The sequence below is a fragment of the Homo sapiens genome, chromosome 5 (assembly GCF_000001405.40).
Source record: "Homo sapiens chromosome 5, GRCh38.p14 Primary Assembly".
Classification (NCBI taxonomy): domain Eukaryota; kingdom Metazoa; phylum Chordata; class Mammalia; order Primates; family Hominidae; genus Homo; species Homo sapiens.
The window spans coordinates 134,519,006-134,534,001 of record NC_000005.10 but is presented as its reverse complement, the minus strand read 5'-3'; the positions used below and the strand labels follow the sequence as shown (position 1 = coordinate 134,534,001).

The 14,996-nt window shown below is 51.5% G+C and overlaps 1 protein-coding gene and 1 long non-coding RNA gene across 26 annotated transcripts in view, besides 8 other annotated features; one reads left to right on the top strand and one right to left on the bottom strand.

The window, feature by feature from the left end:
• JADE2 (jade family PHD finger 2) overlaps positions 1 to 9,993 on the bottom strand; it is a 59,219-nt gene extending 49,226 nt beyond the window's left edge. For 4 of the 25 annotated variants that reach the window (NM_001308143.2, NM_001388188.1, NM_001437925.1 and 1 more), the window contains exon 1: positions 9,573 to 9,687. Coding sequence is in view for 9 of the 25 variants with exons in the window: in NM_001437914.1 (NP_001424843.1) it covers positions 9,742 to 9,882 (141 nt within the window). In the remaining 16 variants the exon portion in view is untranslated. The other 21 variants (NM_001289985.2, NM_001437917.1, NM_001437923.1 and 18 more) reach the window with 8 other exon arrangements.
• Positions 1,048 to 1,548: an enhancer, noted in NCBI's record as "H3K4me1 hESC enhancer chr5:133868144-133868644 (GRCh37/hg19 assembly coordinates)". NCBI's record gives its function as "activates a minimal SCP1, AML or CMV promoter by ChIP-STARR-seq in primed H9 embryonic stem cells {active_cell/tissue: H9 hESC(primed)}" and the evidence as "EXISTENCE:reporter gene assay evidence [ECO:0000049][PMID:30033119]".
• Positions 6,323 to 6,382: a silencer, noted in NCBI's record as "silent region_16364". NCBI's record gives its function as "represses an Ori minimal core promoter by ATAC-STARR-seq in GM12878 lymphoblastoid cells {active_cell/tissue: GM12878}" and the evidence as "EXISTENCE:reporter gene assay evidence [ECO:0000049][PMID:35858748]".
• Positions 6,743 to 7,862: a silencer, noted in NCBI's record as "silent region_16363". NCBI's record gives its function as "represses an Ori minimal core promoter by ATAC-STARR-seq in GM12878 lymphoblastoid cells {active_cell/tissue: GM12878}" and the evidence as "EXISTENCE:reporter gene assay evidence [ECO:0000049][PMID:35858748]".
• Positions 7,873 to 8,132: a silencer, noted in NCBI's record as "silent region_16362". NCBI's record gives its function as "represses an Ori minimal core promoter by ATAC-STARR-seq in GM12878 lymphoblastoid cells {active_cell/tissue: GM12878}" and the evidence as "EXISTENCE:reporter gene assay evidence [ECO:0000049][PMID:35858748]".
• Positions 8,163 to 8,242: a silencer, noted in NCBI's record as "silent region_16361". NCBI's record gives its function as "represses an Ori minimal core promoter by ATAC-STARR-seq in GM12878 lymphoblastoid cells {active_cell/tissue: GM12878}" and the evidence as "EXISTENCE:reporter gene assay evidence [ECO:0000049][PMID:35858748]".
• Positions 8,373 to 8,592: a silencer, noted in NCBI's record as "silent region_16360". NCBI's record gives its function as "represses an Ori minimal core promoter by ATAC-STARR-seq in GM12878 lymphoblastoid cells {active_cell/tissue: GM12878}" and the evidence as "EXISTENCE:reporter gene assay evidence [ECO:0000049][PMID:35858748]".
• On the top strand, positions 8,400 to 11,389 carry LOC124901070 (uncharacterized). The gene is made up of 3 exons (XR_007058942.1): positions 8,400 to 8,536; positions 8,919 to 9,096; positions 9,958 to 11,389. It is a non-coding gene; the product is annotated as an uncharacterized LOC124901070 (long non-coding RNA).
• Positions 8,613 to 8,662: a silencer, noted in NCBI's record as "silent region_16359". NCBI's record gives its function as "represses an Ori minimal core promoter by ATAC-STARR-seq in GM12878 lymphoblastoid cells {active_cell/tissue: GM12878}" and the evidence as "EXISTENCE:reporter gene assay evidence [ECO:0000049][PMID:35858748]".
• Positions 9,243 to 9,562: a silencer, noted in NCBI's record as "silent region_16358". NCBI's record gives its function as "represses an Ori minimal core promoter by ATAC-STARR-seq in GM12878 lymphoblastoid cells {active_cell/tissue: GM12878}" and the evidence as "EXISTENCE:reporter gene assay evidence [ECO:0000049][PMID:35858748]".
• Positions 11,390 to 14,996: the final 3,607 nt, after the last annotated feature.

Here is a 14,996-nt window from a genome sequence, read left to right as displayed (position 1 = left end):
GGCCGGGGCTGGAGGATTTCTTGAGCCCAAGAGATCGAGACCAGCCTGGGGAACGTAGGGGGACTCATCTCTACAAAAAATTTAAAAATTAGCCAGTTGTAGTGGCACATGCCTGAGGTCCTAGCTATGCAGGAGGCTGAGGTGAGAGGATAGCTTGAGTCAGGGAGGTCAAGGCTGCAGTGAGCCATGATCGTGCCACTGCACGCCAGCCTTGGCGACAGAGTAAGACCTTATCTCAAAAAAAAAAAAAAAAAAAAAAAAAAAAGAGAGAGTGTGACAAAGGCTGACTGACAGAATCCTGACTCCTGATTCTAGCCTACGTCTTCCTCAGCTCAGCCCAGCCCAGCGCAACCCAGCTTTGTCCTGACATCGGTGGGTGGAGTGGGGGGGAGGTGCTAAAAGTGCACCCACCCATTTTCTTTTGCAATCCTGTAAGCGAATTCCATTTCTCTTCATTTCCTGCAAAGAAGGTACTTCCGAGCCAGCATCTCCCACAGTATTAAAAGCAGAAGTTGTTGATGGGTTCAAATCCTAGCTCCTCTCCTCATAGACCAGGGACCTTGGGAAAGACATACCTCCCAGAGGAGATAAACTGGAACTGGCTTTTTACATAAATGTCCTTAATTTAAAATGTTGGCAACTGAGTCAGAATTTTTACAACACTTTGAAAGGGCCAAACTAAACACATCTGTGGGCCAGAATCAGCTGGTGAGAATAAATAAGAACAGTGTAAAGCCCTCAGCACAGTGGCTAGAGATCCATATGGGTGCCAGATAGTAATACCATGGCAGCCTTGGACCAGGTCGGAAAGTCCTGGAGGAGGGGCTCCTAAAAAAGAGGCAGTGACCCTATACAGTAAGGAAGGTGCCCTCGAAAGGACTCCTTGACTGCCCAGAGACCAACAGGTGACAGCATGCAGACCTACACCCCGCACCAAGCCAATTCCCCATCTAACCCTGTCCTCCACAAAACACCCCAGAGTGCCTAGGGATTATTCTGGGTCAGGGCTGTCCCATGGGAGGCTATTATTAAGGGAGCAGATTTTGTGGTGGCTTAATTGTTATAACAACTAGGCTTGAGAAGGAAGCCACTGTTTTGTGAGTGCAGCTTCTTTCCTTTAAACCAAGTCTTCCAAAGGCCTCCTTGCTCCAGCGAGCTCCCACTGTCACAGTGGCTAATGAGGCCTGGGACCGCACTATGTCAGCTTTTTGCCCCATGGATCACCCTCCTCGCAACCTCAGCAAGAGGGACAGGGAGGACTCCTTTCCCAAAGCTGAAATCCAGGACTGCAAACACACTTGGGGGGTGGAGGTGCTTAGATGTGATCTTGGCCTCTGGTTTTTCCTTTCCACTGGCTTCCCCCATCTCCCCCAAAGCAAGGTCTGCTGTGGGAGAAGATTTCAGTGTCACAAGGCACTTGCTTTCGAGGACAGAAAGTGCTCCCGAAATCCTACCTATAAAGGAGACTTTAGGAAAGAAAAGATCTCATTTTCCTGCCATTTGCACTAGTCTATTGGCACCTCTCATGCAACCCCCAGCATGGAGACACAGGTAGGAAGCTCTCCTTCAAAGTGTGGGTGTCGTAGAGTCCCCTCAATGAAGCAAAAGCCCACAGCCTCTCTGTATCCTCGGCCCCACCAAGTCCACTAGGCTTTGCCTCCAGAACACACCCACTTTCTTCCTACTATCACCACACTGGTCCAAGCCAATCTCATCTCTTGCCTGAACCACTTGTTCATCTCCCAGCTTCCAGTATCAATTCACCCATGTCCAGGCTCCACACAGCTGCCAGAGTGATGTTTAAAAAGCATAAATCAGTCGGGGTGCGGTGACTCACACCTGTAATCCCAGCACTTATGGAGGCCAAAGCAGGTGGCTCACTTGAGCTTAGGAGTTCAAGATCAGTCTGGGCAACATGGCAAATCCCCGACTCTATGAAAAATACAAAAGTTAGCTGGGCATGGTGGCGTGTGCCTGTGGTCCCAGCTGCTGAAGGGGCTGAAGTGGGAGGCCAGGAGGTTGAGGTTGCAGTGAGCTGTGATTATGCTACTGCACTCCAGCCTGGGTGACAGAGTGACACCCTGTCTCAAAAAAAAAAAAAAAAAAAAAAAAAAAAAAGCCAGGCACGGTGGCTCATCCTTATATTCCCAGCACTTTGGGAGACCAAAGTGGGTGGATCACTTGAGAGGTCAGGAATTCGAGACCAGCCTGGCTAATGTGGTGAAACCCCGTCTCTACTAAAAATACAAAAATTAGCCAGGCTTAGTGGCGGAAGCCTGTAATCTCAGCTACTCTGGAGGCTGAGGCAAGAGAATTGCTTGAACCTGGGAGACAGAGGTTGCAGTGAGCCGAGATTGTGCCATTGCCCTCCAGCCTGGACAACAGAGTGGGACTCTGTCTCAAAAAAAAAAAGGTATAAATCAGAAGCTGGACATGGTGATATGCACCTGTAGTTCCAGCTACTTGGGAGGTAGAGGCAGGAGGATCACTTGGGCCCAGGAGTTCAAGGCAAGCCCGGGCAACACAGCAAGACCCCATCTCTAAAAAAAATTAGAACAAAATAAAAATTTTAAAAGGCATAAATCAGATCATATCATGCCCCTAAGAAAATCTTTCAAAGGCTTCATAGATCAAAAGACAAAGCCTAAGCTCCTGACCACAAGACCCTACACAATCTGGCCCCTGCCACCTGGACAGCTTCATACTGACCACTATCCCCTTCCTCACCACCTTCTAGCCATGCTGGGCTCCTTTCATTCCTTTGAACAAGCCAAATATTCCATACTTCGAGCCCTGTGCACACGCTGTACTCCACTCTGTTTGGAATATTCTTCTATGTGGTCTATGCATGTCTGACTTTTCAACCTTCAGGTTTAAGCTTCAGTGTGGCCCATGTCAGTCTATGCTCATCACACTATCTGAAGAAATTCACCACCCAGTGTCCACGGAATACCCATCCCAGCTGTGCTTGTTGAGCTACTTGTTGCATGTCGTTCTCCTTGGGAATGTATATTCCATGAAGAGTAAGGAGCATTCCATTTAGACTCCAGCCAGAACCCCAGTGACATACTAGGGAGTGCTGAGTGTGCTCTCGCTCCCTCCCCCAAGAAGTGTCGGGACCACACAGTCCAGCTGGCCTGCCTGTGGCTTGCAGGAACAAACACCCTGGCCCAAGATTTCGCCCTTGTTTTCACAGCCTGCCTTCCCCGTCTTAACCTCACACATTTTCCAGGAGGCTTTATTTGGTTGGGCTCCTGGCTAATGATCAATGTCAACTCAGTAATAGGGCAGCAATTTGGTGGCAGATGTTTTCTTGGCAGCACTAGTGGTTGGCCTTAGTGAGGGCCTCAGGTCTGGACTTAAAACACCAATGCCCAATGCCAGCCCCCTTTAAAGACCTCTCTGCAAATAAACTCAAATAAACACCCTGGGCCTCCATTAACGCCCTTCCAGCTGACCCTGGGAACAGTGGGCCTTTCAGGCCTGCCACTGCAGCCACTCCCTGGGCAGTTAAAACACCCCAACCTGGCCTCCAGCCTCTCCTCTCCAGGGGCCACTAGGCCTGGCCTGCCTGCCACCACACAGCAGGATTTCGTCCTCTTCTTTAAAAAAAGGGGAAAAAAGGGCTTTCAAGCAGGCAATTTACCATTCCAGACACAATCTTTCAAAGAGAAACAAAAACTCTCCCTGTCTGAGGCAGACCGCTAAGGCGTGTGTGTAATAAGATGCTAATACAATTTAATGATATTTCGGCTGGAAAACCTGTCCTCAGAGCCTCCTTGTGTTGGGAAGGCCAGACATTCAGAAAACAAGAGCTGCACACTCTTAAACCGCTTTAAACCGGGGTCACAGCCCCACTCTTTCCTATCTCTCATTAACTTTAATGCCTTCTCAGGGACAGTAATTGCAGTTACAAAAATGATTTTGTATACAGAGTAGAGGGCTGCTGCCTGGGATCCTCCAGTCGGCTTCCTGGACCTGCTTCTCCAAGTCTAGAGGAGCCTGAACCCTCCTGCAACACCAGCCATTGCCTGTCTGCAACTTCAAGTGTCCCAGAGGGGACTCAGCTCCCCTTGAAGACGCTGCCACACCCACCCTCCAGACCAGTTCTGGGGACGTACCAAGGGGATGGTGGGAGAATGAAAAGGCTCTGTCTACTTTGTTCTTCAGAACCTTCTCACCCTACTCTTTGCCCCAGAGAGGGCAGAGCTCCGTCTACTCGCTCCCATATCGGCTGCCTATTGGCACCTGCAGGATCCTTCTGATCCCTTCTGCAGAGAAGCGAGCTGGCTCTCTGGCCTAGCCTAAAGGTGAGAGATCAAAGGTCCAAGCTGCATCGGGGACCCTCCCCAGGTATAATAAGGATGACTAATACTAATCACGTGCTTATCACATGCCTGCTTTGGGCTTAGTCTTTTTTAGGTAATCACTTATTCTATACATCCACTATGAGATAGGTACTGTTATTAATCCCATTTGCAGAAAGTGCTCCTTGTAACAGAAGGAACTGAGGTATAGAGCCATTATGACAGTTGGTAACTGCACAGCCAGGATTCAAACCTAGGCTGTCTGACTCCAGAAGGTGTACCCCATCTCCAGTGGGCTGAAGTGTACAGGCCTACAAGTTCCAGGGTATGGGTATTCTAGATTCCTATGGGCTGTCTGAAAGGAGCTTTGAGCAGACCTACAATTGTAAGCTTTTGAGCCACATGGTAAGGGTCCTATCTGGAGGACAGGGCAAGCCAGGGGTATCCTGCTCCCCAACTCTGACCTGTTCTCCCCATCAGAGAACCTAAAGGGAGAACTGTGAGGTCCCAAAAAGCCTGCTGCATGTGCCATGAAGAATTTGGACTAGAAGCCTCTTACCTGTGTCATGAGCATAAGACAACTGCCTTCCTGTTAAGAGGAACACTAGGTTAGAGCCAGAACACCCTGCCTCCCAACCTCAAGGATGTGGGGGTCAGTGTCCAGGGCCTATACAGTGTCAATACTCCGTGGTGCATCTAGGACCTGGGGACTGGCAGTCCCACCTCACCAGTCCATGAAAGCTAAGTGGAGATTTCTGACAACCTCTTGGACCACTGTTACTGGCCCTTTAGCCAGGCAATTTAGGGAAAGGAAAAGCATTTTGGACGGGAAAACATTCTGGAAACATTTGCTGCATCCTGAGCCCAAACAACTCTATCCTTAAACACTTCATCTCCAAAAGTGATGGGGGGACCCTTGGCCAAACAATTTCAAAACCAATATTCACTGCAAGTCCTGCTGCCTGGGGCGAGGACTTCCCTCTGTGAGGCATTTGCTGCAGAACCAAATGCTTTTCCACTCAAAACAACAGCCAACAGCACTTGGGGCAACCTAGAGGGCTCCAGATCAAACAAACATCCCTTCCTCTACCATGCAAACTTGCTCAATAAATTATTCGCCCACTTCGGATCAAAGCCTGTTTTTGCAGCCTGTGACCCAAAAAGCAAATAGCATCTCTTAAACATGAAAGCCCTCCTCCCTGCCTGGGTCAGCTTTATTACTCATTCCTTCCCCCTTATAGTTATTCTGTTGTTATTTTCCTCCTCTGCTTGTTAGATGGCTCTGCGAGTCCCAGCCCGTCTAAGGAAGATGGGACAAGACGGACGGTGCGTTCATCTGGGGCCCTAAGGTGAGAAAGAAAGTCAGGGTAGGGGAGAAGCCCTGGGAACCCAGGAAACAAAGCCAGGCCCGGTTGGCAGCTCCATGCCGAGCCCTTTTGCCAAATGTCCTACTGGGAATTTTACCAGTGAAGGGAGGGAGTTAATGCCACTCCGAGAGGAGGGGCCAGGCGGCCCTACCACCTCCCAGGTCCAGGAATCAGTTTGCAAACATAAATGCTAAGGGGGCGTCCTGACAGCCTGTCTGGGATCAGAGCTCAGGGGTCCTCCTTCCAACAAAGGCAAGGCAGCAGGTCCCACTCAGCCCCTTCCTAGACGCTTTGGAACCGCTCTGAATGGAAACATGACACCTCTCGATGACCCCCTACAAACTCTGACCCGGGATACAACTTTGTGCCTCGGGATCCTGCAGAAGATGACCCAGGGGTGCTAGACGCAGCGGCGAGGTTTGGAAATCTGCAGAGACCAGAATCGCCGGCCGCAGTGTGCCTTCGGCATACGGCAAAGACACCCAGTGACCCTTCACCTCCCCCAGCCTCCAGCAAGAGGCCAGCAGCCAAGCTGGTAAAAAAGTGCCCAGGCCAGCGGCAGTGGCTGAGGGGATTGGGAGGGGAGTTGCGCGCGCCTCCAGCCCGCCCCTGGAGGCAGTCCGCGGGACCGCAGGCTGGAGGCGCGCCGGCGTGATTCCGACCGCCGGAGCCGGGAGGAGGAGCCGGAGGAGGCTGCGGGGGGCTCCGGCCCAGGCGAAGGAAGGGCAAGAGGCTGTTCGACCGGGGGCGGCGCCGGGAGGTGGGTGGGCTTAACACCCAGGTCGGGGGAGGGGTTTAAGAGACACCGGGAAGGGCAGCCGAGCCCCAGGGGCGGGTGGGGTGGTAGCTGTGTGTAGTAGGGGACAGGGCTGGGCCTCTGGAAGCTAGAGTGAAGCCTTCCTGGCTGTCTCGCAGGCAACCCCATCCTCTGGCAGAACAGCTGCGAATCGCCAAGTTGACCCCTCTCGTCCCTTGGCCGAGAGGAGAGGATGTCTCAGGACCCAGGGATGGGCGGGAAGAAACCATGGGGAGCCACAAGTCTGCACCCAGGCGGGGAGGAGGCGGGCGGGCGCCGCTCCGCAGGCGCAGGCGAGTGGGTGGGAAGAAGGGAGGGAGAGGGAGGAAGGAGGTGAGGCCGGGAAGATGCCACTGCCGGGGGCGGGGCGGGGCCGGGGATCCGGCAAAGGGACTGCAGCAGCGCTAGGTGGGGGCGGGGGCTGCAATGTCACTCATTTGAGAGTCAGGTGTGTGCGTCCCAAACGGGGTCCGCCACAAGCCGGCATCTTCCTGGTACCACCCATGGTGCAGGGCCCTAGGCAGAGGGCTGGGGACTGCGGATCCGTCCCTGAAGCGGGACGCGAACCGGCAGAGTTGGGAGAAGGTAAACAAGGGCCACGCCCCCTGCCGTCGCCCCGCGGGCGCGCACCCGCCGCTCCGGCCGCCGCCGGTACATTTCCACTCTCCCAGCGCCTCTCCCCAGCTGGACTACCGCGCGGCCCCGGAGGTGGAGGCTGCCCCCGACCCCAGTCCTCACCCCTGGCGCCGAGGCTCCGCACCCTCCACACTCACCTGGAAAGGGTGTCCCCCGCCCCTCCAAAAAAACTGTCTAATTTGTGCAGAGCCTCCAACCCCAGGAGCCGAGCATGCTGCCCCCGCGTGCAGCGCCCGCGTGCACCGGGCCGGGAGAGGGGGCGACAGGGCGGAGGCGGTGGCCCCCGGAAGGTGTCTGGGACCGGACCGGCTGCACGTGAGCCCAGCGCGAGGTCATGTGCACCGGCTCAGCCCGGTTCGGCGCCCGGACGTGCTGCGTATCAACAAAATGAAACTCGGGGAGACAGGAGGGCAGATAGCTCCAGGTTCTCGGAGCCCCCGCCCGGGCCGCTCGACCTCCCCACCGTACCCATCTCCCGCCGCAGCCCCTACGCCCGGCCGGAGCCCGCGGGGAAGTTGCAGCCCTGGCGCGCCCCCGCCCGCCCGCGCCCCCTCGCCGGCCCGGGGGCGCTTTGCCGCAGTCATTAATAAAGAAGGTCGCCAAGCTCACCCTTCCAAAAGTTGTTGTTGCATGCGCCCCTCTCAGCCTCCCCGCACTGTACTCTTTAAAACACGACTGACCAACATGCGCAATCTCTCTCCCCTGTGCTGTGCATCCCCCCCCTCTCCGCGCTGGCTTCCTAGAACAGGCAGCCAGCAGGAGAGAGAGGGAGCGAGCGAGCAAGAGAGAGCGAGGGAGCGAAGAGCGCTGGCAGATCTGTTGCAAAAACGCCAAATAACGTCGTGGAGATGCGCAGGGCCCATCCGCCGGGGGCTGGATCTTACCTTGCTCCGCGGTGCCCCCCTGACGGGCGCTGCCCTCGGCTACGCGCCGCTGCAGGGACCGGCGCGGGAAGGATGCTCCCGAAGCCGGGAGCTCCTGGGGCCGGCGCGGGAGGGCGGGGGGCGCGCATCCATCCGGGGTCGCGGCGAGGGAGGCGGCCGGGCCCGCGGCGTCCCAGGCCCCACGCCCCCCGCCGGGGACGGTCGGCCCGCAGGACCTAAGCCGGTGCCGCTAGGAGTGGGCGCAAAGTAACTCCATGGACGCTACTCACCCCCCCCAAAAAATAGCCTCCAACTGCGATGGCCGCGGTCGGCACCATTCACCAACCCCCTGTGTATGTTTCTGTTTCTTTTTAAACCAAGACTTCCTTGTGATCTCTTTAGAAAAAAAAAATGTGTTGGGGTGGGGGTGGGGTGGGGGCGGGCAGGAGGAGCGAGGGAGGGGGAGTAGCCACTTTTTTCTTATTCACTCGGATCTCCGCTCCCGACACCCCCGTCGCCGCCCCCCCAACCCCCCGCCCAGTTGTTTGGCTCCGGCGGGGAGTCCAGGTAGCGTTGCGGGCCCCGTGGGGGAAGGGTGCCCTCCCTCGCAGCCCCACCACCACGCCTGCTGGCACCCTGGGCCCGGACTCCCCATGGACTCTGGGGCGCCCCTAGCCCGCCCTGTCCCCAGGGCCGGGCCCGAGCGGCGGCTGCGCCCGTGCAAGTCCCATCAGGTCTGCTCACACTTCACACACTCACACACATACCCCGCCCCTCCACTCTTTCACTCACACTTTCTGCTCACACCCCGCCCCCTACGCGCCCCAGACCCGGGCGGCGCCCCCCGCAACCTTAAAAAAAAAAAAAAGCGAGCTTATACTTAAAAAAATCTTTTGGCGCCATATTAATGACGTACTTAAAATTTGCCATTTCTCCCTGCGTCAAAAAGACGTTTCTTTGCAAATAACAGCCTGGAGGCGACACTCGCGGAGGGAACGAGGTTTGCACTGAGCACCCCGCCCCCCGGGGCTCCAGCGCTGGAAGACCCTCGCCCTAGGCCCTGCTTCTGAATCGCTGGTTTTAAAATGCGAATCGAATAAATTGCGTGGCGTTTTGCAGCACCAGAAGTGAGCAGAAAGTGCTGGCAGGAGGGGAGTGGAGGGGCGAACGCGAGTCTTGGGGAGGGGGCGCGGCCCTCCTCCCCGCACCCACTCCAAATGGAAAACTAACATTCCGGGCGGGGGAACTTGAAATTGTAGGCGACCTCAAGAAAAGAGGGGCGGTCCGTAGAGAGGGTCCCCATTGGGCTCGTCGCCCCCTCCCCCCTCCCGGGTGCCTCCTGGCGCCTAGCGCTGCCCCGCATTTCCGGGGGGTGGAGAAGGCAGTGATGAGCGGGTGGGTGGGTGGTTGCACATCCTGGCCCCAGCAGGATTTTGCCCCGGGGCGACCCCTTCCTCCTTGCTCTTCCTTCCCATTACCCCGAAAGGGTTAAAAACCGAGGGGTAACTTCCAAAGGCTGGCACATGGCGAGGAAGCGGGGCGCCCCTCTCCCCACCCTTCGCCTCCTCGCCCCTCCTCCTCCGGCTCCACTTCCCGACTTGACCTTGTGGTGCACAAACAGTACGCTCGGATCCTCGCAGTTTCTGGAAGAAGAGCCTGCGCTCGCCAGGCGGGCGGGCTGTCGGGCTGCTAGCCGGCGGTGGCGGGGCCTTGGGTCTGTTCCCGGAGCCGCGGGCCACACCCACCCAACCCGCTGCGCCCGCCGAGCTCACCTTCTCTCGAGGAAGGAGAAGGACTGGCCTCCTGGTTGGGGAGGAATCGGGGGTCAAGCTCCAACCTCCTCGGAATGCCTCTAGCTGGGGAGGGGGTGGGTCTGGCCTCGGGAGGAGGTTGTGGGGAGCCTGGCCCAACATCCCCAAAGCATCGTGGCCAACTTTTTCTTCCCCCTCATGGTCGGCTGCCCCTCAGATTATCCAATAATTTTTCAGCTCACCTTTGGCTTTGAAGGCACGTGGGTGAGTTGTGAATGGACACCGGAGTCGCCTTCCCTCTCCAAGACTGAAGATTGTTTATTCTTCCTTTCCCCTCCACCCCCTTCCATGGGAAGATAAATATTCAATTTACATAAGATGACATTTATGTGACAATTAAGAAGATTCCCCGATGGAATGTTGTGAACACATTTGCTTATAGGAGAAATAAATCTAATAATAAACAAACTCATAATAACAGCACAAATCCTCCGACAGGGCGGATTGTCTACCCAACAAAGAGGGAGATGATGAATGCTGAAATAAGCAGTTTTTGCAACAAGAAAGAAATATGAGCTCAAAGGGAGTCACTGCAACATTTCTTCTTCCTTGGCCTTCATTCACAAAGTCTGAGGAGAATTGTCTGGCAAGAGGATGGTCTGGGTATTACCTTCCAGTTAGACCTGGCTGTGGCTCTCAGTGGTCAATTGGTGGTATTTTTCTCTAGCCAAGCTCAGAGTCTGGAAACAGGTGCTGCAGACTTGGAGTGTGTAACAAAATAGTTAAATACTTAGGTTCTAATCCTGGCTTTGCATTTCAGAAGCTGTGTGATGTGGGCAAGTGAATTCATCTCCCTGGATCGCTTTTTCCTTTTGGGTAGAATGGGGTGGTTGGAGGGTTCTTGAGGCCATGTGTGCACATACACATATATGTATGTACGTACATATACAGGTGGTATGTGTAAAGCAGCAACTGGCACAGGGTGCATAGTGCTCATTAGCACCTTGCCTGGTACCTAAGTGGGTTTTTTTTATTTTGGAAGGGTGAAATTGTTCTCTGAAGCTTGATGGTCAAGGTCCAGATGTCCATTCCGGGGTGGGAGTGAGGGTACCAGTTTACAGTGGCACAGTCTAAAGAGATGACCTCCAGAGATGGATGAGGGAAGTGTGACCATTTAAAGTGCACCTGCAGTGTACTGGTCACTTTGTGAGCCATTCTATCTCATCCTCCCCCAAACCCCTTCCTCCCTTTTCAGAAAGGTTTAGTAACTTACCACAGCCACACAGCTAGTAAGTGCTGGCAGAATTGGCTCCTAGGTCTAGCTGACCTTGAGACCTATGTAGTTTCTATTTTACCACACTGCCAGAAATAAAAAGTATTACTATTATTGGTTTGATTGGGGATGGGGGGATCTGATTGCTGTCTTGGCAAGAAAGAATTTTATGAGCAGCACTTTGCTTCTGAGGTGGTTCCCTGACTTGGGGTGAGACCCAGGCCTTCTAATGAGCCCTTGAAAATACCTCTTGCTTAGGACTGGAAGCCCTATCAAAATCCTTGGATTCCCACAGTTCTCTGCTGCTGTTTAAGGTTAACCTTGGAAGCTTTAACAGAATGATAACGATAAAGCTAATTGTAACTCCTTAATCTTTATTAAAAGTCTCACAAATCATTCATTAACTTTTTTTTTTTTCCTTTTTCCACAATCTCTGCTTTGGACGTAATCATTCATTAACTTTTTACAGGAAAGAAATGAGAAGAAAGAGAGTTCTTGGAGATGTAATCCTTCATTGTTTTTCAACAAGCCTCCCGTATGCCAGAGACCATTCTTGGTGTTGGGGACACAGCACACACACACACACACACACAAATAAGTAAATAAATAAAATAAATGAGGAGCAGGGCAGGGAGAGCATCAGGAAAAATAGCTAATGCATGCTGGGCTTAATACCTACGTGATGGGATGATCTGTGCAACAAACCGCCATGGCACATGTTTACCTGTGTAACAAAACTGCACATCCTGCACATGTATCCCAGAACTTAAAAAAAAAAAAAAGGTAAAAATGTTAGCTGCTAGAGTGAGCAGGTTATTAAAATTGGACATGATTTTATTCTAAACTCTAAAATATAAAAATAACTATATGTTTGAAAGTGATTAAGTGCTGTGGAGAAACTCTTAAGAAGGAAAGGGCGATACACAGTGTGGGAGTGCAATTTTAAATAAAATAGGGAAGTTCTCACCGAGAAGACAGTCTTTGAGAAGAGCAGGTAAAGGAGTGAACTGTATGTGGGAGTATGTGTGTATGTACATGGGGGAAGAGAAGCCAGCCGTTCTTAACCTGGAGACCATAGACTCTCCTCTCCATGGGTCTGTGGATAGAATTCAGAGGATCTTGACCTTAGGTGAGAAAAAAATTACAACTTTATTTTCACTAATTAAAATGTAGCGTGTCCTTCAATTATGAATACAGATAACAAATCAGTGATATTAGCAGCACCTGTGACATTACTGCTGGTAGAAATCACAGATATTTTCATATCACTTTAGAGTTGTTGCAAATATCTTAAAATATCGTTACACTTTATGAGTAATTTATTGAAAAAGTATCATTTTACTCATCACTACTTCAAAATCATGCTGCTAACTCTTATAATTTAATGAATTAATAGAGAAGCACATATATATGTTTAAATATTTCGAGAGTTGTATTTCAGTACAATTTGTTTTCTTAATGATTTGTGGAACTTATTTTATGGATTTAAAGATACTATACTCAGAAGGAGTCCACAGGTGTCACAGACTGCCAAAACAGTCCATGGCACATGCACAAAAAAGGTTAAGAACCAAGGTCTCAAGAGACCAGCAAGTGCAATGCCTCCGAGGCAGGAATATGCTTAATATGTAAATGAAAGAGATTATATAGGGCCTTTTAGGTCATTGTTAGGAATTTGGCATTTGCTAGAGTGATATGGAGAGTTTTGAGCAGAGGACTGAGATGATCTGACCCTGGGTTTAACAGGTCTCTTGGCTGTTACATGGAGAACAGATTTAAGAGGCAAAGCTGAAGCAGGAAGGCCAGTTGGGAGACCACCTGAATAAACCAGGTGAGAGATGATTGGACCAGAGCGGTAGCAATGGAAGTGGTGGAAAGCGGTCATCTACATTTTGAAGGTAGCTCTGACAGAATTTGCTGATGGAGTGAGAGAAAAAGAAAGAAGTCAAGGACAACGATAAGTGTTTTACCTTGAACCAATGGAAAGATGGAGTTGTCCTTAACTGAGATGGAGGAAACTGGAAGGAGTAGGTTTTAGGGGATTAGGAGCTCAGTGTTGGACATATGAAGCTTGAGATGCCTATTTGACATCCAAGTGCAGCCATTGACAGGCAGCTAGACATGATAGCCTCAGCTCAGGGGCAAGGTCTGGGCTGAAGATGTCATTGGAGAGTGGTCAGTGAGCAGATGGATGGTATTTAAATTTGAGATCATCAACTAAGTGAACATAGAAAGAGAAGGGGCTCAAGGATGGTACCCTTCAGCACTGCAAGGTAAAGATGTCTGAAAGATGAAGAGGAATCAGCAAAAGTGTTGTTAGTGTTGTTTAAAGAAAAAAAAAAGCATTCAAAGAGATAGGAATATCCTGGAAGCCAAAGGAAGTGAGAGAGAGTTGCAGGAGGGAAGAAAGCCCTATGTCCAAAGCTGTGGAGGGGTCAGACAAGCTGGAGGCTGAGAATTGATCATTGGAATCATCAACATGGAGGTTACTGGTGACCTTGACAAGAGCCATGTCAATGGAATAATGCTAGCAAAAGCTTGATTGAAATAGTTCAAGATAGAGAGGGAAGGTTTCTAGTTGTCACAACTTGTTCTCAGATGCTACCTGAAAATGAGATGTCCTCTGTATATATTTATCTGTGAATGTTTATAGAGATGGATAACTACGTATCTGTAGAAATTTAATTCAAACAGCTTCTGTTGAGGATCTTCTGTGTACTAGGCATGGTAATGGATGCTACAAATACTGAGAGAAATAAAACACATTAATTGCCTTCCAAGGGTCACAGTCTAGCAAACTTTGTTGGCACACGAAATACACACAAATCAATATACATGACTAAATACACACAGTCACTCTGGACATCAGTTTTTCTAGTGTAATAGACAATATGATTAAAACTGTGGATTCCAGAATCAGGCAATCCTTTGTTTGAGTCCTGTCTCCACCATTCTCCAGCTCTGTTACTTTGCACAAGTCAATCAACTTCTCTGTGCCTCAGTCTCCTCCTCTGTAAACTAGGGATGCAATCATTTCCAAACTTTAGTGTGGATGGGGTGCATGGGATGCATGTTAAAAATGCAGATTTTTTTTTTTTTTTTTTTTTTTTTTTTGAGACAGACTCTTGCTCTGTCGCCCAGGCTGGAACGCAGTGGCACGATCTGGGCTCACTGCAACCTCCGCCTCCCAGGTTCAAGCGATTCTCCTGCCTCAGCCTCCCAAGTTGCTGGTATTACAGGTACACATCACCATGCCCAGCTAATTTTTGTATTTTTAGTAGAGACAGGGTTTCTCCATGTTGGCCAGGCTGGTCTCGAACTCCCGACCTCAGGTGATCCACCCGTCTCGGCCTCCCAAAGTGCTGGGATTACAGGCGTAAGCCACTGCACCTGGCCCCAGCCTTTTTTTTGAGATGGAGTCTCACTCTTGTCGCCCACGCTGGAGTGCAGTGGCACCATCTTGGCTCACTGCAACCTCTGCCTCCAGGGTTCAAGTGATTCTCCCGCCTCAGCCTCCTAAATAGCTGGGATTATAGGTGCCACCATCATACCCAAGTACTTTTTGTATTTTTAGTAGAGATGGGGTTTCACCATGTTGGCCAGGTCTCGAACTCCTGACCTCAAATTATCCGCCCGTCTTGGCTTCCCAAAGTGCTGGGATTACAGGCGTGAACCACCGTGCCCGGCCAAAAATTGCAGATATCTGAGCCTTATCCCCAGAGGTTCTCAGTAGGCAGGTCTGGGGCAGGGCCCGCAACTTTTTTTTTTTTTTCAATTAAAAAAAATATCTGCAGTGTTTTATTTTTTTGAGATTACAGGAGGCTGCCACCATGGCTGGCTAATTTTTGTATTTTTAGCAGAGATGGGGTTTCACCATGTTGGCCAGGCTGGTCTTGAACTCTTGACCTAAGGTGATCCACCCACCTTGGCCTCCCAAAGTGCTGGGATTACAGGCATAAGCCACTGCGCCCAGCCAAAACCTGCAGCTTTTAACAAGTACTTG